Source organism: Homo sapiens, chromosome Y, assembly GCF_000001405.40.
Source record: "Homo sapiens chromosome Y, GRCh38.p14 Primary Assembly".
NCBI lineage: Eukaryota > Metazoa > Chordata > Mammalia > Primates > Hominidae > Homo > Homo sapiens.
This window is the reverse complement of record NC_000024.10, coordinates 24617606-24639610: the sequence shown is the minus strand read 5'-3', so window position 1 is coordinate 24639610 and position 22005 is coordinate 24617606. Positions and strand designations below refer to the sequence as shown.

Genomic DNA, 22005 nt, shown 5'->3' with positions numbered 1-22005 from the left:
ACATTTGTAGGCAGGCCCAGGCACCTTTGCTTAGGTTTTTGGTCCACATATGTCACAATTTCATCTCGGGTTATGGCCTAAAAAGGAGAGTCAAATTACTCAGGACCTGGGCTAACTTTTAAGTCCTAATCATACACCAGGAAATATTCTGAAGTAAGTTTCACAGCCCCACACAAGTCCTGGCTTTATGTATGAAAGTCAACACCTTCTGTGAGTTGGGTCGAAACAGAGGAGACACAATCTAAACAATGGGCATAATCCATGTAGAAGATGGCAATCCCACTTGATAACTGCATTCCAGGGGGAGAGTCCCAGCCTCACAGATGTGCTGAACCATGCAACCCCAAACCACCTGTGAGTCAGATCCACATATGAGAGGAACAATTTCAATCTTTTACTGCTCTTTTGGTGAGATTTAGTACTTTATTTGCAGGTTCTGTTCTTGTGAGAGAATGATAGTCGCGTCAGCTGGGTGTGAATCCAATAATCACAATAGCATTGGTTTGCTGTTCCCTGTTATAACACTCATTGTACTACTCACATTTTCTATGATACGCTGGGAGTGTCATAATACTGTGTGAACTTTATACCACTATGAGAACCATTACTTTGCTTGTGGCCATAAGAATGGCAATGAGAATCAAAATATCTCTCCTCTTTGGGTCCAGGTATGATAGTTGTATTATTGCATGGTATCTGAAGCTGGGTATATGACAAAATTTTACCTGCGGGCAGAAACAGAGCAGGAGAGTCTCATCACCTGGATGGTGAGCTCAGGATACATTATAATCTTAGAGAAACAGAGAAGACTCACATCACCTGGGTGCTGGACTCCGCAATATGTGATAATCCCTTGTTTTGGCAGACTCCAGAATAAAGAGGAGAGTTGCATTACCCAGTTTTTGCAGTCAGCGTTATGTCACAATTCTTTTAGTGGGCAGGACCTAGGCAGGAGAGAAGAATCACATTTCCTAGATGTTATCACCGATGATGTCACAATGTTCTTTGGTGAAAAAGCAGAAGCAAAATAGACAAATCACCCAAGAAATAGGCTCAGATATATGTGACAATATCCCTACTTGGCAGGATCAAGTAGTAAAAAGTCACATTATTGTGATTCTGACCCAACGATATGTCACAATGCACACATGGGAAACAAAGCAGTTTTTACACCTGGGTACTAGGCCCAATGATATGACAATATCTCCTCATCTTTTAGGGTGACACCTTTAACTGTTAACTCATATGTATGTAAGTCACATTGTCACGTGTGTGCTGGGCCATTGTATGACATCCTCTAGAACATCTGAGAGTTTTATACAACATGCGTGAGATTCACAAACTACTCTGAGGTCCACATGCTCATTTTGACTCTGAATATTATATATTGCCTTAAACCCAGATATGAGAGTCAGTATCTCTCATTTATGCTTAGTTCAGGAATGAGGCTTATTTTTATGCCTGTGAGCTGGGTCTAAAAATGAGTGATGGTTGCACCTGTGGCAAAATCCACAAATGAGAGTCACAATTCCATCTTTGTACTGTTTTACTTGTTAGACTCAGTATCTCAGCAATGGGCTTTCTTAATGAGGGGTGGTGACAAGTTTTACTTTCAATTGTGTGTGTAATTCAGAATCACAATCTTAACTTTTTGCTGGGCTTTGTTAGGAAACGCTGTACCACCCAAGGAGTTTATACAATATTAATTATTGTTCTGTGAGCTTTCCTCAAATACGCAACCCAGGATTTTACCTATTGCCCTAAGCCTTGCGATGAGAGGCAAAATATCTTCTATTTGCTGAATCACAATGTAAGTTTGACCATCATACCTGTAAACTGAAGCAAGGTATATTTTATAATCCCATTTGTGGGCAAAAAATTACCAAAAAGAGTAATGTCACTTAGGTGCTGTGGCACGCAGCATGTCACAGTGCTGTCTCTAGGCAGAATACAGAAAGCAGGGTCATGTTATCTGGATGCTGGACCTAGCAATATGACACAATTTTACTTGTTAAAAAAAGAAACTCAACCAAGGGATGAAAGCCAAAACACTTACAGATTTGGCTGAAGATATGTCAAAATGCCCTCTGTGGCTCTGGCACTGGTGGGACTGAAGCATCATTAGAGTGTTGGGCCTACCATTATGCAATCACTCCCTCATTATTCAGGACTGCAGCAGAAGAGTAACATCATCTGAGTGCAATAGGTGAAATTTTCCCTTTGTGGGCATGGTTCAGAAAAAAGGAAATAGTCACATAACCTAAATCCTGGTCTCAGAAATACATCACAATTTCAGCATTTTAAAGGCTGAGGCAAGGGAAGAGAGTCATATCACTTAGGTCATGGGCTTAGAAACATGTCCCAATGTCCCCAGTAGGCAGAAGTCAGGCAGAATTCAGGCAGAAGAGGAGAGTGGTGTCTCATTGGTGCTTCTTTAGGTGTATGTCTCAATCTAACACATGGGCAGAACCAGACAGAAGAGCCATATAACCTGGGTACTGGGTCCTAAGGTATGTTGCAAATCCCGATTAGTTCAGAACCAAGGTGAAAGAGTTACATCACCTTGGTTCAGGTTTCACTTTCATGTCACAATGCTCTATGTGTGTGAGGCCAAAGCATTTAGTCCCATAAACTAGTTTATTGGCCCAAGAGATAGGTCACAAAGTCCCCTGTGAAGCATAGTCTTGGCAAAAGAGTATCATCACCTGTGTGCCTGGCCTAGAAATATGTCATTCTCCAGGTTGTCAGGGCCCAAGCAGGAGAGCCGCTTAACCTAGGTAATAGGTGCAGAGATATGTCACAATGCCCTACTTTGGGCATGGCTGTGGCAAAAAGTACCCACAGCTGTATGCCTGGCTTCACAATATGTCACCATCCTTCCTTTGTGCAAGGCCCATTCCAGAGATCAGAGTTTCATCCCTATGAGGTGCACACACAAATATGTTCACAATAATTTTGGTTGGCGTGGCACAGGCAAGAATGTGAACATCACCTGGATGCTAGATCCAGTGATATGTACAATCCTTACTGAGAGAAGGGCCCAGGCAGGAGAGTCACATCTCCTTGAGGTTGGCCTAGGTAGATATCACAATCCCACATATGGGCTGGAACAAGTCTGGAGAGTCAAATTACACTGGTGCTTAGCAAAGATTTATATCACAATCACACTGTCAGAAAATTCCAAAGATGTGATTTACAATACCACACATGTCCTGTTTTCATGTGTGACAGTTGACTTCATCCATGAGAGATGATGACAGTCCTTACTGTCAGGCGGGTGTGCATACAAGACTCACAATTTCACCTGAGTTGAACCCTGCTTTGACTCTTTCTGTATAAACCAAAGACTCTGTAAAATGTGTGTGTTGTAATCTTTTGTGATGTTTGTACAAGAAAGTGATTCAGGACATCACGCATGTCCCTAAACTGAATTATAAGAGTAAAAATATTCTCTGTTGGATGAGTCCACATATAAGAGTCATTATTATTCCTGCAAGCCCTGCCTAGGTATTTGTTATAATTTGTTCTGTTGTTATGAATCAGGCCTAACAGCCACATCACCTAAATGCTGGGCCAGAAATATTCCAGTATTCTTTTTGCAGGAGGGGTCTTGTCCAAAATATCACATAACTTGTGTGCTAAATCCAACTCTGTTGCACAATGTTCATTTTGGGCTGTGTCTAGGCAGGAGAGGAGAGTCACAGGACCTAAAAGCTGGGCTCAAGCATGTGTCAAAATGCCTCTCAACAGGAGAGTTTCTCCAAAAAAAGAGAGCCATGTCATTTGAATGCAGTGTTTAGAAAAGGTACAATTACTATAGGAAGCAGGGTACAGGTCAAAGAGGAGAGTCATATACCCTAAATAATGGGTCCAGAAACATGTGACTATTTTGCCTGAGGACACTTTTTAGATAGCACAGTCAAATCACCAAGGTGCTTGATGAAGATATTTGTCAAAATCGCTTTTGTAGGCTATATCTAGGCAGAATTATTAAATCACTCAGGAACTGAAATACAATATATGTCACAATTACACTTGCGGAAAGGTTTAGGTATAAGACTCAACTGTGGGCTTTGTAAATGTGGGATGGTGGCAACTTTTAATTCCACCTGGGTGTGTAATCGAGAGTCCCAATTTGAACTTTTTGCTGGCCCCTGCTATAAAAATTTCTACCACAAAGGAGTTTATAAAATGTAAGTTAGTTGTGTAAGTTTCTGTGAGCTTGGTACAAATATGCAGCCCAGGACCTTATCTATTGCCCCAAGCCTAACAATGAAAGGCAAATATTTTCTATTGGCTGAATCCCAGTATAAGTTTGATCATCATGGCTGTGAGCTTAAACTGGGTATATGTTATAATGACATATGTGGGCAAAACACTACGCAGAAGGGTAACATCACTCAGATGCTGTGCCCAGCAATATGTCACAATGCCTTCTGTATGCAGGGTGTAGGAAATTGGGTCACGTTAACTGGGTGCTGGACCCAGAAATACGACACAATTTCACATGTGTAAGAAACCCAGCCCAGTTATGAGAGCCAAAACACCTACATAATGGGCATAATATATGTCAAAATACTTTCGGTATCAGCAGCACAGGCAGGAGCATCACATCTTAAGGGTGCTGGGCCCAGCAATATACAATATGCCATAATTATCTCTTTATGCAGATCCCATGCAGAAGAGTAACATGATCTGCATGCTGGGCAATAATATGTGTCAAATTTCTTTTTTGTAGGCATGGTTCAGGAGAAAGAGAAGAGAAACAGATCCTGAGTCCTGGGCTCAGCAATGTAACAAAATCTTCCTTTTATGAAGGCCCAGGAAGAAAAACAGAGTCACATCACTTAGGTCATGGGCTCAGAGACATGTCCTAATATTCCAACTAGGCAGAGCTCAGGCAGGTGAGGACAGCCGAGAGTCACATATCCTGAGTCCTGGGCTCAGCAATGTGACAAAATCCTCCTTTTATGAAGGCCCAGGAAGAAAAAGAGTCACATCACTTAGGTCATGGGCTCAGAGACATGTCCTAATACTCCAACTAGGCAGAGCTCAGGCAGGTGAGGACAGCCGAGAGTCACATATCCTGAGTCCTGGGCTCAGCAATGTGACAAAATCCTCCTTTTATGAAGGCCCAGGAAGGAAAAGAGAGTCACATCACTTAGGTCATGGGCTCAGAGATATGTCCTAATACTCCAACGAGGCAGAGCTCAGGCAGATGAGGACAGCCATATCACCTATGTGCTTCCATCAAAATATGTCACAATTTAACATGGGGGCAGAAACTATGCAGAAGAGCCACATCACTTGGGTGCTGGGTCCTGTGATATGTCACAAAGTGCTCTTAACACAGCACCTAGCCAAGAGAAATACATCATACTAGGTGAAGGGTCTCTGCTTATGACACAATGCTTCATCTGGTTAGGACCCAGGGAGAGAGTCACTTCATTTAGGTGATAGGCCCAGAGATATGTCACAATGTACTGTGTGAAGCATAGCCCTGGAAAAGGGTACCATCACCTGTGTGCCTGGCCTAGAAGCGTGTCACTTTCGAGGTTGGAAGGACCCTAGCAGGAGAGCCACATAATGTAGGTGATAGACCCAGAGATATGTCACATTGCCCTCCTCCAGGCATCCACAGGATAAGGAGGAACCTTGCCTGTGCGCCGGTCCTTGCGCTATGTCACTATCATTCTGTTGTGCAGTGCCCATTCCAGAGAGGAGACTCACATCAACTATGAGGTAAACACAGAAATATGTCACAATAATTTTGGTGGGCAGGGTGCAAGTAAGGATGTAACGTTACCTGGGAGCTAGGTCCAGTGATATGTCACAATCATTACTGAGAGATAGGACAAGGCAGGAAAGTCATGTCACCTCGAGGTTGGCCTAGGTAGATTTCATAACCCCACCTATGAGCTGGAACAAGTCCGGAGCCTCAGATTACACAAGTGCTTAGCAAAAATTTATATCATACTCACACTGTCAGAAAATTCCAAAGATGAGATTTACCATCTTACCACACATGCCCTGTTTCATGTGTGACAGTTACCTTTATCCATGTGAGATAATGAGTTCTTACTTTCAGCTGGGTGTGCAAACAAGACTCATGATTTCATCTGTGTGCTGAGCCCTGCTTTGACTTTGTGTGTATGACCCAAAGACTTTGTAAAATATGTATGAGTGTTGTAATATTTTGTGACCTTTGTACAAGAAGGAGATCCAGGACATCATGCATGTCCCTAAACTGAGTTATAAGATGCAAAATATCCTCTATTGGCTGAGTCCACACATGAGAGTCATTATCATGGCTGTGAGCCATGCATAGGTATATGTTACAATTCACTCTGTGGTTAAGAAGGAGGCCTGACAGCCATATCACATAAATGCTGGGTCAGAAATATTCCAATATTCTTTTTGTAGTCAGAGCCCTCTCAGAAATATCACATAACTTATGTGCTATGTCCAGCTCTATGGCTCAATATCCCTTGTGGACAGTGTCTAGGCAGGAGAGGAGAGTAATATCACCTAAATGATGGGCCCAAAATTTTGTCACAATTCTTCCTGTTGACAGGTCCCAGGCAAGAGTGTCATATCATTTGGATGCAGGGATTATAAATACTACAATCCACCAAAGAAGCAGGGTACAGGCAGGAGAGAAGAGTCACGTAACCTAGATGAAGGGCACAGAAATATGTTACAAGAGCCCCTGAGGACATTTCAAGATACATCAGCCAGATCACCAAGGTGCTTGACCAATGTATCTGTCAAAATCTCATTTGCTATACCTAGGCAGAATTATTAAATCACTCAGGAGTTGAGCAAAGGTATATGTCACAATCAGACTTGTGGAAAGGCTTAAGTCTAAGAGTCACCATCCTGCACAAGTCGTATGCTCTAGTCATATGAGTTGTTACTAGGCTTTTGTTTTGGTCTCTGGTACATGGCAGAATATCACCTGTGGCCAGAGAGAACACAAGAAAGTCCCATCACCTATGTGGGTCTGGGCCACTAAGACATCACTATTCACCTTGTGGGTAGGAACCTGGTGGAAGAGCCACAGCACCTGGATTTCAGTGACATATCAAAAGCCTCTCTTCTGGGCAGGGCTTTGGCAAGAGAGGAGACTCACTTCACAAAGGCAGTTGGCCTAGATGTTTGCCACAATGTCTATTCCGTGCAGTAACCAAACTGTAGAGTGGCCTCACATAGGTGTTTGTCCCAGGAAATATGTCACAATCTGCCTGTGGTCTGGGCCAAGGCGAAAGTGAAGAAACATCACCTAGGTACTGAGCCAAGTGATATGTTCAATGCTTCCTGTTGGCAGAACCCAAAAAGAAGAATCACATCACTTGAATGCAGTACCCAGTTCTTTGTCACAATGCCCTGTAAGTGCATGGCCAAGGAAGTAGAAGAGAGTCACATCACTTACAGGATGGACCTAGATATATAACAAAATTCCTTTTGTAGAAAGGTTTCAGGCAGATAACTCACATCATCTGGGTGATGGTCCCAGTGACATATGTAAAATTTCCCTTTGAAGGCAGAGCCACGATGGATGTTATCTATTGCTTAGCTGCTTGTTCCACATATGGCACAATTACTTCTGTGATCTGGGCCTAGAAAATGAGTCAAATTATTCATTTGCTGGACAAAGTGACCTATCCCAATATGACACTCTCATATATGTTCGGAAATAAGTTTCACATCCCACACAAGTCCTGGTTTTGTGTATGTGAGTCAATTCTTTCTGTAAGTTGGATCAAAATGGAGGAGTCAAAATCTCAACAATGGGCAAGATTCATGTATAAGAGCCGCAATCCCCCTTGAACATTGTGGTCCAGGAGGGGAGTCACGGCACCACAGGTGTGCTGAATCCTGGTTCAAATGTTAACAAACCACCTGTGGATCAGGTCCATGTAGGTGAGTAATTATTTCAAACATCGACTGCTTTTTATGTGTGAGATTTAGTCCCTCATTCCTAGACCCTGTTAATATGCGAGAATGACAATCATTTCAGTGAAGTGTGCATACAAGAGTCATATTCTTACCTGGTTGCTGGTCTCTGTTATGACACTCTTTGCACCATTAATGCTTTATATGATATACCTGAGTATTATAATCCTTCGTGACTTTTATACAAGTGAAAAACACAGGGCTTTACCCATGGCCGTGAGACTGGCTATGAGAGTCAAAATATTCCTACAGGCTGGGCCCAGGTATGAGAGTTATTTTTGTCCATGCGTGCTTAACCCAGGTACGTGTCAAAATTTCACCTGTAAGCAGAGACAAGGAAAGGGAGTCAACTCACCTCGACACTGAGCCAGTGATACAGCATAATCTCATTTGTATGCTGGGCCTAGTCAGAAGAGTCACTTCACCCGGGTACAGTTTCACATAATATGTCAGCAAGCCCACTATGGACAGGGAAGAAAAAAGAGAGGACAGTCAGTCCACCTATGTGCTGGACTCCGCAATATGTAACAACCCTCTCTCTTGGTAGAGTCTAGAATATGAAGGAGAGTCACATCATGTAGGTTTTTCAATCAGCGGTATGTCACAATTTGTTTGCTGAGCAAGGCTCAGGCAGGAGGTGAGAATCACATTACCTAGATGTTAAGCCAAACAATATTTCACAATGTCTTCTGGGTGCAGGACACTGTCAGAAGAGACAAATCCTCTAGCTTATAGACCCATAGATATGTGATAATATCCCCTTTTGGCAGGGTCCAGACAGAAGAGACACATTATGATTCTAACACAGTGATATGTTACAATCCACCCAAGGAAAGGAATTTAAGCCAAATAGTCTCAACACCTAAGCACTATGCCTATTAATAGGCCAAATCCCCTTGTCTTTGAGAGTGACATTATAAACTCTGAGCTGGGTGTGTATATGAGAGTAACAATTTCACTAGTATCCTGGGCCGTTGCATGACTCTCAACAATTTTCAAAAGCTTTATACATCACGCATGAGAGTTTCAAACCACTCTAAGGCCTACATATTCACATGGATTCATGACCTTACATATTCCCCTAAACCCAGGTATAATAGTCAGCATCTCCTCTATAGGCTGGGTTAGAAATGAGACTCATTTTTATGCCTGTGAGCTGGATCTAGAAATAAGTCACAATCCCACCTGTGGCCAGATCCACATACGAAAGTCACAATTCCAACTTTGCACTGCATTCATTTGTAAAACTCAGGTTCTTAACAATGGCCTTTGGACATGTAGAATGATGACAGCACTTGCTTTTACCTGGGTGTGTAATCAAGAATCTCAAACTGAACTCTTCACTGGTCCCTATCACCAAACTCTCTATACCAACAAAGAAGTTCATACATTATGAGTTAGTGTTGTAAAGCTCTGTGAGCTTGGTACAAATATGCAACCCAGACTTTATGTATTGCCCAAAGCCTAGCAATGAAAGGTAAAATATCTCCTATTGGCTGAATCTCAGTATAAATTTGACCATCATGCCTGTGAACTGAAGTCATAGTCCCATTTGTGAGCAAAAAAAGTAGGCCCGAGGGTAACATCACTTAGGTGTTGTGCCAAGCAACATGCCACAGTGCCCTCTCTAGGTAACATAGAGGAATTAGAGTCATGTTAACTGAGTTCTGGACTCAGCAATATGAAACAATCCATTATGTGGAAACAAACAAAAACAAAAGTGAAAAAAAAAAAAAAAAAAACAGCAAAAAGATAAGAGCCAAAACACCTACATAATGGGCCCAGGATCTGTGAAAATACCTTCTCTGCCTCCAGCAAAGTCATGAGTTTTATATTTTCAGGATGCTGGGCCCAGCAGTATGTTATAATATTCTCTACATACAGGACCCACGTAAAGGCGTAACATTATCTGGGTGCTGGGCCCTGCAATAGGCCAAAATTTCTGTTAGTGGGCATGATTTGAGATTAAAAAAAAAAAAGGTGAATCAAATAACCTGATTGCTAGGTTGAGCAATATTTCACAATCTCTCCATTGTAAAGACCCAGCAGAAAAAGAGAGTCACTTCCCTTAGTTCATGGGCTCAGAGATATAGTCCAGTGTACCCAGTGAACAGGGCCCAGGCAGAAAGGGAGACTCATATCACCTAAATGTTTCCCTAGTTATATGCCAAAAACCTTACCCACGGGCAGAAACCAGGCAGAAGAGCCACATCACCTGGGTACAACTGCAAGTAATATGTCACCATCCCCAGCATAGATAGGTTTCTTATAAAATTAGATAATGACACCACGTGGGTGCTCTGCTCACCAATATGTAACAATTCCCTCTCTTGACAGAGTCCAGGAAAAAAAGGGGACTTCTGTCACCTAGGCTCTGCACTCAATGGTATATGACAATTTTTTCAGTGAGGAGGATCCAGGCAGTAAAGATGGGTCAAATTTCCTAGATTCTAAATCCAGCAATATGTCAGTGTCTCCTCTGGGCAAAGTACTGGCAGGAGAGACATATTACATAGCCAATAGGCCTGGAGATATGGGAAAATATCCTCTGTTTGCAGGGCCCTGGAAGAAGAGTCACATTATTTTGATTCTGACCCAGTGATATGTAACAATGCCCTAATGGAATGAAATTTAAACTAAAAGTTCTCAACACCAGCTAGTAGGGCAAGATATATGACAAAATCTCCTCATCTTTAAGGGTGACACCATTAAATGTTAGCTATCTGTGTATAAGAGAGTCACAATCTCATGTGTGTGCTTGCCATTGTATGACACTCTCTATAATACCTGAGAACGTTATGCAACATGCATGAGAGTTGCAATCCTCTCTGAGGCCTACAGGCATTTACAGAATTATGATTATGCATATTGCCCTAAACCCAGGTATGACAGTCAGCATCTCTCCTATAGACTGGTGTTAGGGATGAGATCATTATTATGACTGAGAGTTGGCTCCAAAAATGAGTCACCATCCCACCTGCGGCCATATTCATTTATGAAAGTCACAACTCCATCTTTGTGGTGTATTTGCTTAGACTCAGGATCTCAACAATGGGCTTTGTAGATGTAGGATGGTAAAAACTTACTTTCATCTGAGTGTGCAGTCAAGAATCATAATCTTAACTGTTTGCTGGGCACTGTTAAGAAACCCTTTGTATCACCCAGGAAATTTTTATTACATGAGTTAGTGTTGTAAACTACTGTGAGCTTTGTAGAAATGTGCAATGAGTAACCTGACTCTTTGACCTAAACCTGGTGGTGAGAGGAAAAATCTCTCCTATTGGCTGAATCCCAACATAAGCTTGATCATCATACCTTTGGACTGAAGCAAGGTATTTCTCACATTCCCATTTTTTAGCAACCTATGCAGAATATTAACATCACTTAGGTTCTTTGTCAAGCAATATGTCATGATGCCCTCTGTAAGCAGCACCTAGGAAAGAGGGCCACATTAACTGCAGGCTGGAGTCAGCAATATAATACAACCACACGTGGAAGAAATTCAGCAAAGTGGTAAGAGTGAAAACACCTAGAAAATGGGCCAAAGATATGTCGAAATACCTTCTGCGGTCCTGGCACAAGCAGGAGAGTCACATCATTAGGGTTCTAGGCCAAGAAATATGCCACAATTTTCTCTTTATGCACAACCTAGGCAGAAGAGCAGCTTCATCTGGGTACTGGGCCCTGAAATACGGCAAAAGATCTGTTCCTGGGCGTTGTTCAGTTACAAGATGAGAGTCACATTACCTAAATGCTGAGCTCATCAATATCTCATAATCTTACCATTGTAAAGCCCTAGACAAAAATAGAGTCACATCACTTAGGTCACAGGCTTAGAAATATGGCCCAATATCACCAGTAGGCTGGGTTCAGACAGAAGAAGAGTCATATTACCTAGATGCTTCTTTAGCTATATGTCACAATTTAATATGTGGGTGAAAACCAGGTTGAAGAGCCACATCATGTGGTCCTGGGTACTGAGGTATTCACAAGTCCCTCTTAGAAAAGGACCCAGGCAAGAGAGTTATGTCACCTAGGTGCAGATTCCACGCTTATGTCTCAATACTTCATGTGGGCAGGACCAAGCAGGAAGTCACATCACCTTGGTGATAGGACCAGGTATATATGACAAGGCATTTTTGAAAGCATGGCCCTGGCAAAAGAGTTCCATCACCATTGTGCCTGGCCTAGCAGTATGTCACTATTCAATTGGGCAAGTTTCAAGCAGAAGAGCCGTATCACCTACACGATAGGTCCTGTGATATGTCAAATGCCCTTTTTTGGGCATAGCCCTGGGAAAAGAGCATCATCACCTGTGTGCCTGGCCTAGAAACAGGTCACTATTTTGCCCAGTGTTCAAGGCCCTTTCCAGAGAGGAGAGTGACATCTTCTAACTGATGGACACTGCAATATGTCACAATGATATCTGCGAGCATGGCGCAAGCAAGAATGTAACGTCACCTGTGTGCTGGATCCAATGATGTTATAATTCTGAGTGGAGGGCCCAGGCAAAAGAGTCACGTCACTTCAAGGTTGGCTTAGGTAGATACCAAAATCCCATAGGTAGGCTGGAACCAATCTGAAGGGTGAACTCACACAGGCACTTGGCAAAGATTTATATCAGTCATGATGGAATAAAATTCTAGGGATTAGATTTACAATATCAGGCGTGTTCTATTTTTATGTGGGACAATTGCCTTCATCATCTGTAATGGTGAAAGCCGTTACTGTCAGCTGAATGTACATATGAGAATCCCAATTTTCTCCATGTGCTAGGCCCTGTTATGACTCTCTCTATACGACACAAGGATGTTATAAAATATGTGTGAATGTTGTAATCTTCTGTGACCTTTTTACCAGAAGGAGATGCTGGATATCACTTATCTCCCTAAGCCTAGTTATAAGAGTCAAAATGTTTCCTATTGGCTGGGTTCACATATGAGAGTCCTTATCATGTATTTTAGATGTGTCTACAGATACGGCGCCATCTCATCTGTGGTAATTAAACAGGCAGAAAACGACATCACCTAAATCCTAAGCCAGAAATACCCCAACTTTATTTTGTAGAGAGGGCCCTAACAGAAATATGACAAAACTTAGGTGCTAGACTCAGCTCTATGGCATAATGCCCTTTGTGGAGTGTGTCCAGGCAGTAGAGGAGAGTCATATCACCTAAATGAAGGGCCCAGAGAGATATCACAAAGCCCCCCCTTTAAAAAGCCCAGACAAGAGACTCATGTCATTTGGGTGCAGTGCTTAGAAATGCTACTCTTCACTGGAAGCAGGGTTCATGCAGAAGAGGAGAGTCATGTAACCTAGACAATGGCTCCAGAGATATGTTATGATCACTTCCGAGAACCTGTTAGGACACAAGAGTAAAATCACAAAGGTTCCTGGGAAAGGTGTAGGTCCAAATGTCATCTGCGGGCTATAACAAGGCAGGATTATTAAATCACTCAGGAGCTGGGTAAAGGTGTATGTCACAATAGTACCTGTGAAAATCTGGGGCAGGGATGAGAGTAATGATCCTGTCCTGCACGTGTCCTGGCTCTGGGGACAAGCGTCATCATTAGGCTTTTTATCTGGTCTCAGGTAAATGGAACAATATCACCTGTGGGCAGAGAGAAAAAGGAAAGTTCCATCACCTTAGTGGATGCTGGTCCAGTGAAATGTCTCAATTGTCCTTGTGGCTAGGACTCTGATAGAAGAGTCACATCATCCGGATGCTGGTTTCAGTGACATATAAGATCCCCCCTGTGAGCAGAACTTAGGCAGGAGAGAAGACAAACTTCACTTAGGCAATTGGCCTGAATATACGTCACAATGGCCCCTATGTGTAGGATCAAGGCAGGGGAGTAACCCTCGCTTTGGTGCTAGGTTCAGCAACATGTCACAATCTCTCTGGCGGTCAGGGCACAGGCAAGAGAAAAGAAATATCACCTAGTCGCTGAGCCAAGTAATACGTTACAAAGCTTCCTACTGGCAGAAACTTCATTCTCCAAAAAAGTCACATCACCTGGGTGCAGTACCTAGTTACGTGTCACAATCCACCACCAGAAGTGCAGGGCCAAGACAGTAGAAGGAAGTCATGTCACTTAAGTAATCAACTTATATAAAAACCACAGTGCTCTCTGTAGGCAGGCCTCAGGCCAAGATTTCACATCAGCCAAGTGCTGATCTCAGTGATATGTAAAAGTGCCCTATGTTTCATTACCAAAAAAGATGTTACTTATTGCTTAGGTGCTTGGTGCATGTAAGTCACAATTTCAACTGTGCTCTGGGCCTAGAAAGGAGAGTCAAAACACTCAGATTCTGTGCAAAGTTATACTTCTCAGTTACACACTCAAAAATGTTCAGAAATAAGTTTCACAGTCCCACACAAGTCCTGGATTTGGGTATGAGAGTCAACACCTCCTATAAGTTGGGTTGAAGTACAGGTGTCACAATCTCAAAAATAGGAAAGATCCACATAGAAGAGTCTCAATCCCACTTGAAGATTGTGTTCCAGTAGGAAAGTCAAAGTACCACAGTTTGACTAAATCATAGTTCAAACATCACCAAATCACCTATGGATCAGATTCGTGTATGAGAGTAACAATTTCAAGCTTCAACTGCTTATGTGTGTGAGATTTACTACCTCATTTGTAGGCTCTGTACATGTGTGAAGATGAAAATCATGTCAGTTGTCTATGCATCCAAGAGTCACAATGGAACCTGGTTGCAGGTACCTGTTATGAAACTCTTTGTAACATTCAGGCTTTATATGATATGCCTGAGTAGTATAATTTCCCGTAAATTATTACAGGTGGGAGATCTAGGACTTTACCCATGGCCTTAAGACTGCCTGTGAAAGTCAAATATCTCCCACTGGCTAGGTCTAGGTATGAGAGTTATTATTGTGCTGAATCCAGTTATTATATGAGCTGAATCCAGGTATACATCACAATTTCACCTTTGGACAGAGACAAGAGAGAAGAGTTACATTATCTGGTTGCTGAGCAAGGGATACGTTATAATTTCCTTTTTAGTCAGGACCCAGTCAGAACAGTCATATCACCTGGATACAGTCTCAGATAATATTATCATGACCACTAAACCCTGGATTGAAAAATAGAGGATTGTCACGCCCCTAGGTGATGGGCTCAGCAATATTTTATTATTTCCTCATTAGCAGAGTTCAAGACAAAGCTCACTGGCAGAGTCCAAGACAAAGAAGAGAGTCACATCACCTAGGTTTTGCACTCAGTGGTATGTCAAAATTTCTTCAGTGGCCAGAATCCAGGCAGGAGTGGAGAGTCACATTACCTAGATACTATAGTGATATGTCCCAGTGTCCACTGTGGCAGGGCACTGGCATGAGAGACACCACATCACCTAGCTGATAGGCCCAGAGATACGTGATAATATCCCCTGTTGGCTGGGTCCAAGAAGAAGTTTCACATTATTAGGATTCTGACCCAGTGATAATTCACAATGCACCTATGGGCAAAATTTAAGCCCTAATTCTCAACACTTGGTTACCAGGCCTAGTGATAAGACACACTCTCCTCATCTTTTAGGGTGACACCTTTAACTTTCAGCTAAGGTTGAATATTAGAATCACAATCTCACATGTATGCTGGGCCAATGTATGACACTCTTTACATCCGAGGGCTTTATAAAACCTGCATGAGAGTTGTAAACCTCTCAGCGACCTGCATGCTCATATGGGTTCACAATTTTACACATTGCCCTCAATTCAGATTTGATAGTCAGCATCTCTTTTATATGTAGGGTTAAAGGAGAAGACCCATTATTATCCCACCTCCAGACAGATCCACATATAAATTCACAATTGCAACTTTGTGCCGTATTCCACAGTGGGCATTGTATATGTAGGATGGTGACAACTTTTAATTTTACTGGGGTGTATAATCAGTACTCCAAATCTGAACTTTCTACTGGGCCCTGTTATGAAAGTTTTTACCACCAATGAGTTTATACAATATAAGTTAGTGTTGTAATCTTTGGACTTTGTACAAATATGCAACTCTCTGTGTACAAATATTACTCTCTGTGGTTATGAAGCAGGCAGAACAATCACATCACCTAAATTCTTGGCCAGAAATATTCCAATATTCTCTTTGTAGGCAGGATCCTGTAGAAATGCCACATAAATTGTGTGCTAGATCCAGCTTGGTGGCACAGTGTCCCTTATTGGCAGTGTCCAAGCAGGAGAGGAGAGCTGCCATATCAGGTAAATGATGGAACCCAAAATATGTCACTATGCCTCCTCTTGACAGGGCCCAGGCAAGAGAGTCATATCATTTGGATACAGTGTTTAGAAATGATACAGTTACCAAAGAAAATCATGTACAGGTGGGAGAGAACAGTCATGTAACCTATGTGATGGGCCAGAAATACGTTACAGTCACGCCTGTGGATATTATTAAGATAACACAGTCAAATCATGAAGATGCTTATACCAAGGATTTGTCAAAATCTCATTTTGATGCTATACCTATGCAGAATTATTAAATCACTAAGGAGCTGGGTAAAGGTATATGTCACAGTTACACTTGTGTATCGCTTTAAGACTAAGAGTCACCATGCTGCACATGTCCTGGCTCCAGATATATGTGTTGTTATTAGGCTTTTATTTATGGTCTCTTGTATAAGGCACAATATCGGCAGTGGCCAGAGAGAAGAGAAGAAAATCTCATCAGCTACATGGGTGTGGATTCAGTGAGAAGTCACAGTCTACCTTGTGGACAGGACCCTGGCAGAAGAGTCAAATCACCTGGATGCTGGTGTCAGTGAAATATCAAAACCTCTTCTCTGGGCAGGATTTTTGCTAGAGAGGACACTCACTTCACTTGGGCAATTGGCCTAGCTATTTGTCACAATGCTTCTTATGTGCATTACCAAGGCTGGAGAGTGACCTCACAAGGGTGCTGGACCCAGAAATATGTCACAATCTCCCTGTGGTCAGGGCGAGGACAATGCGAGGAAACATCACCTACATTCTGAGCTAAGTGATATGTTACCATGTTCCAGTTGGCAGAACGCAAAAAGGACAATGATCTCCTGGACACAGTTTCTGCTTATGTGTCAAAATGCACTGTAAGGGCAGGGCCAAGGCAGTAGAAGGGAGTCACTTCAATTCATGGTGGATGTAGATATAAAACACAATTCCTCTTGTAGGCAGGTTTTAGGCAGATAATTCACATCACCTGGGTGATGGTCCCAGTGATATATGAAAGTGCCCTTTGCAGACAAGGCCAAAGAAGGTATTACATATTTCTTAGGTGCTTGTTCAACATAGGGCACTATTTCATCCGAGTTCTGGGCCTAGAAAAGAGAGTCAGATTATTCATGTGCTGGACATGGTTACCTGTCCAAATCACACTCTCAGATATGCTTGGAAATAAGTTTCACATGCCACACAACACCTAGTTTCCTGTACCTGAGCCAACTCTTTCTATGAGGTAGATCTTAGTAGAGGAGTCACAATCTCAACAATGGTCAAGATTCATGTATAGGAGCCCCAATCCCCCTTGAAGACTGTGTTCCAGTAGGGAAGACACAACACCACAGGTGTGCTGAATCATGGTTCAAACTTTACCAAACCACCTGTGAATCAGATCTATGTGTAAGAGTAATTATTTAAACATTTGACTGTTTTTTTATGTGTGAGATTAGTATCTCATTCCTACGCCCTGTTCATGTGTGAGAATGACAATCATGTCAGCTGGGTGTGCATTTAAAAGTCCCATTCTCACTTCATTTCTGGCCTCTCTTATGACACTCATTGTACAATTAAGGCTGTATATGATATACCCGAGTGTTATAATCCTTTGTGAACTTTATACAGTTGAAAAACTCAGGACATAACCCATTGTCGTGAGACTGCCTATGAGAGTCAATTATCTCTACTGGCTGGGTCCAGGTATGAGAGTTATTATTCTGCATGTGTGCTTAACCCAGATATATGTCAAAACTTGGCCTGTGAGCAGGGACAAGAAAGGAAAGTCACATTACCTGGGTGTTGAGCCAATTATACAGTGTAGTATTATTTGAAGGCTGGGCATAGTCAGAAGTGTCAGCTTTATGCTGGTCCAGTGATACAATATAATCTTGGTGATGTGACAGCCTCAAAGATTATGTCACCAAGCACACTATTGCCAGGAAAAAAAGAAAAAGAGGAGTGTCACTCTACTCTACCTCAGTGCTGGGCTTTGCAAACTGTAATAATCTGCTGGCTTGGAAGAGTCTAGAATATGAAGGAAAGCCACATCACATAGATTTTGCAATCAGTGCTATGTCACAACTTCTTTGGTGAGCCACACCCAGGCAGGAGAGTAGAATCACGTGACCCAGATGTTAAGTTAATATTTTCCAATGCCTTCTGGGGGCAGGGAACATGCAGGAGAGAAAAATTCCCCTACTTATAGGTCCAGAGATATGTGATAATATCCCCTGTTGGCAGGGTCCAGACAGAAGAGTCACATTACAATGATATGAACCCAGTGATACGTCACAGTGCACCTGTGGGAAAGAATTTATGCCAAAATGTCTCAACAGGTGGGTACATGGCCTAGTAATATACCAAATTTTGTTGCCTTTGAGGGTGACACCATTAACTGTGAACTGACTGTCTACATGAATATAACAATTTCATGTGTTTCCTGGGCTGTTGATTGACACTCTGTGACATTTGAAGGCTTTATACAGCATGCGTGAGAGTTGCAAACCACTCTGAGGCCTACATGTTTGTATGGATTCATGATCTTACATATTACCCTAAACTCAGGTATAATAGTCAACATCTCTTCTGCAGTTTGGGTTCAGGGATGAGACAGTTTATTATGCCTGTAAGCTGGATCCAGAAATGAGTCACCATCCCACCCGTGGCCAGATCCACATATGAAGGTCACAATTCTGATGTTGTACTGTATTCACTTGTTAGACTCAAGACCTTAACAGTGAGGTTTGGACATATGGAATAGTGACAACGTTTGCTTTTACTTGGTTGTGTAATCGAGAGTCCCAATCTGAATTTTTGCTACTCCCTGTCATGAAACTCTCTGTACTCCACACATTTATACATTATGAGTTAGTGTTGTAAAGGTCTTTGAGTTTGGTACAAATATGCAACCCACAACCTCACCTATTTCCCTTGTTCTAGTGATAAAAGGCAAAATATCTCCTTTGGCTGATTCCCAGTGTAATTTAGACCATCATGCCTGTGAACTGAAGTAAGGTATATGTCATAATCCTATTTGTGGGCCAAAACTAGGCAGGGGTGTAACATCACTGTGCTGTGCCAAGCATCATGCCACAATGCCATCTCTAGGCAGCGTATAGGAATTAAGTCATATTAACTGGGTACTGGACACAGCAATATGACACAATCCCATATGTAGAAAAAGAACAGGCAAAAAATCAGAGCCAAGACATCTACAGAATAAGCTCAGTATATGTCAAAATGCCTTCTGTAGCTGCAGGAAAGCATGACAGTCACATTTTTAGTGTGCTATTATTATATATTAGTATATGCCATAATTCTCCGTGTACGCAAAATCCAGGCAAAAGAGTAACATTATATGTGTGCTGAGCCCTGCAATAGGTCAACATTTCTGTTTGTTTGCATGGTTCAAGAGAAATAGCTGTCAATAAATCTGAGTGCTGGGCTCAGCAATATGTCACAATGCCGTCACTGCAAAGACCAGACTGAAGAAGAGAGTCACTTCACTTAGGTCTTGGGCTCAGAGATAGATCCCACTGTCCCAGTAGGGCAGGGCATGGGCTGAAAAGGAGAGTCATATACCTAGGTGCTTTCCTAGTTGTATGTCACAATCTAACATGTGAGCAGAAATCAGGCTGAAGAGCCACATCACCTGGGTAGACCCTCAGGTAATATGTCACCATGCCCAATGTAGACAGATTTGATGAAAAATAAAAGTAAAAAAAGAATCACAACACCTGGGTGCTGGGCTCAGCAATATGTAGAAATTCCCTGTCTTGGCAGAGTCCAGGACAAATAGGAGAGTCATGTCACCTAGGTTTTGCACTCAGTTGTATGTCACAATTTATTTGGTGGACAGGTTCCAGGCAGGAGTATTACCTAGATGCTGTATCTAGTGATATATCACAATGTCCCCTGTGGGCAATGCACTAGCAGGAGAGACATATCACCTGGCCAATAGGCTTGGGGGTGTGTGAAAATATCCCCTGTTTTCAAGGCCATTATCATTATTCTGACCCAGTGATATGTGACAATGCCCTTTTGGAAAGGAATTTAAACAAAAATGTCTCAACACTGGGGTATGACGCCAAGTGATATGACACAATCTCTTCACCTTTAACGGTGACACAATTAATGGTTAGCTAGTTGTTTATATGACAGTCACAATCTCATGTGTGTGCTGACCCTTGTATGACATTCTCTGCAATATCTGAGAACACTATACAACATGCCTGAGAGTTGAAAACCTCTCTGAGGCCCACATGCTTATATGAACTCATGATCTTACATATTGCCCTAAACCAAGGTATGACTCTCAACATCTCTTCTCTAGGCTGGCTTCAGAGATGAGACTGTTTTTAAGCCTGTGACCTGGGACCAGATATGTATGAGTCACCATCCCACCCGTGACAAGATTAGCTTTTGAAAATCACAACTCCAACTTGGTCCTGTATTCACTTGTTAGACTCAGGACCTTAACAATGAGATTTGTAAATGTGAGAAGATAACAACTTTTACTTGCATTTGAATGTGTAGTGGAGATTCACAATCTCAATTTTTTGTTGGGATCCGTCATAAATATCTCTGTACCACCCAGGAAGGTTTTATGATATGAATCAGTGTTGTAAGTTTCTCTGAGCTCTGTATAAATATGCAATGAAGGGACTAACTTATTGATGTAAACCTAGCAATGCAAGGCAAAATATCTCCTGTTGGCTGAATCCCGATATAAGCTTGATCATCATGTTTTTGAACTGAATCAAGGTATCTGTCATAACCCCATTTGTGGGCAAAATCTAGGCAGAAGGTTAACATCACTTAGGTGCTGTTCCAAGCAATATGTCACAATACTCTACCTAGGCAGGGCCTAGGAAAGAGGGTCACATTAACTGGGGGCTGGAACCAGCAATATGCTACAACAACACGTGGAAGAATACCAGCAAAGTTATGAGAGCCAAAACACGTACAGAAAGGGAACAAGATATATCAAAATACCTTCTGTGGCTCTGGCACAAGCAGGAGAGTCATATCATTACGGGACTGGGCCAAGCAATATGCCCTAATTCCCTCTTTACGCATGACCTAGGCAGAAGAGTAACATCATCCAGGTGTTGGGCCCTGAAATACAGCAAAAGTCTTGTTTGTGGGGGTTGTTCAGCAACCAGACAAGACTTACGTTACCTAAGTGCTGGGCTCATTAACATTTCACAGTCTTCTTATTGTCAAAGCGCAGACAGAATAAGAGAGTCACATCATATAGGTTATGTGCTCAGAGATATGGCCGAATGTCACCAGTAGGCAGGGATCAGGCAGAAAAAGAGAATCATATCACCTAGGTGCTTCTTTAGGTATATGTCACACTTTAATATGTGGGAAAAAACAAGGCTGAATACCATATCACATGGTCCTGGGTCCTGAGATATTCACAAGCCCCCCTTAGAAAAGGACCCAGTCAAGAGAGTTACATCACCTAAGTGCAGGTTCCACACATATGTCACAATGCTCCATGTGGGCAGGGTCAAGCAGGAAGTCACATCACCTAGGTGATAGGCATAGAGATATGTCACAAAGCTTTTCTTTTCTTTCTTCCTTTTTTCTTTTTTTTTTGAGATGGAGCCTCGCTCTGTTGCCCAGACTGGAGTGCAGTGGCACGATCTCGGCTCACTGCAAGCTCCGACTCCTGGGTTCACGCCATTCTCCCACCTCAGCCTCCCAAGTAGCTGGGACTTCAGGCACCTGCCATGGCACCTGCCTTATTTTTTTGTATTTTTAGTAGAAATGGGGTTTCACCGTGTTAGCCAGGATGGTCTCGATCTCCTCAC

At 42.3% G+C, this 22005-nt stretch overlaps 1 protein-coding gene across 1 annotated transcript; it reads right to left on the bottom strand.

Annotated features, from left to right (window-relative positions):
• Nucleotides 1-403: 403 nt before the first annotated feature.
• BPY2B (basic charge Y-linked 2B) lies at nt 404-21607 on the bottom strand. Its single transcript, NM_001002760.1, has 9 exons — nt 21577-21607; nt 21179-21301; nt 17977-18113; nt 13449-13567; nt 11272-11389; nt 8312-8417; nt 7495-7619; nt 820-944; nt 404-725 (listed from the first exon to the last, which is right to left on the bottom strand). The coding sequence occupies exons 4-7, from the start codon at nt 13524-13526 to the stop codon at nt 7601-7603; spliced, it is 321 nt and encodes a 106-aa protein (NP_001002760.1). The 5' UTR covers nt 13527-13567; nt 17977-18113; nt 21179-21301; nt 21577-21607; the 3' UTR covers nt 404-725; nt 820-944; nt 7495-7600.
• Nucleotides 21608-22005: the final 398 nt, after the last annotated feature.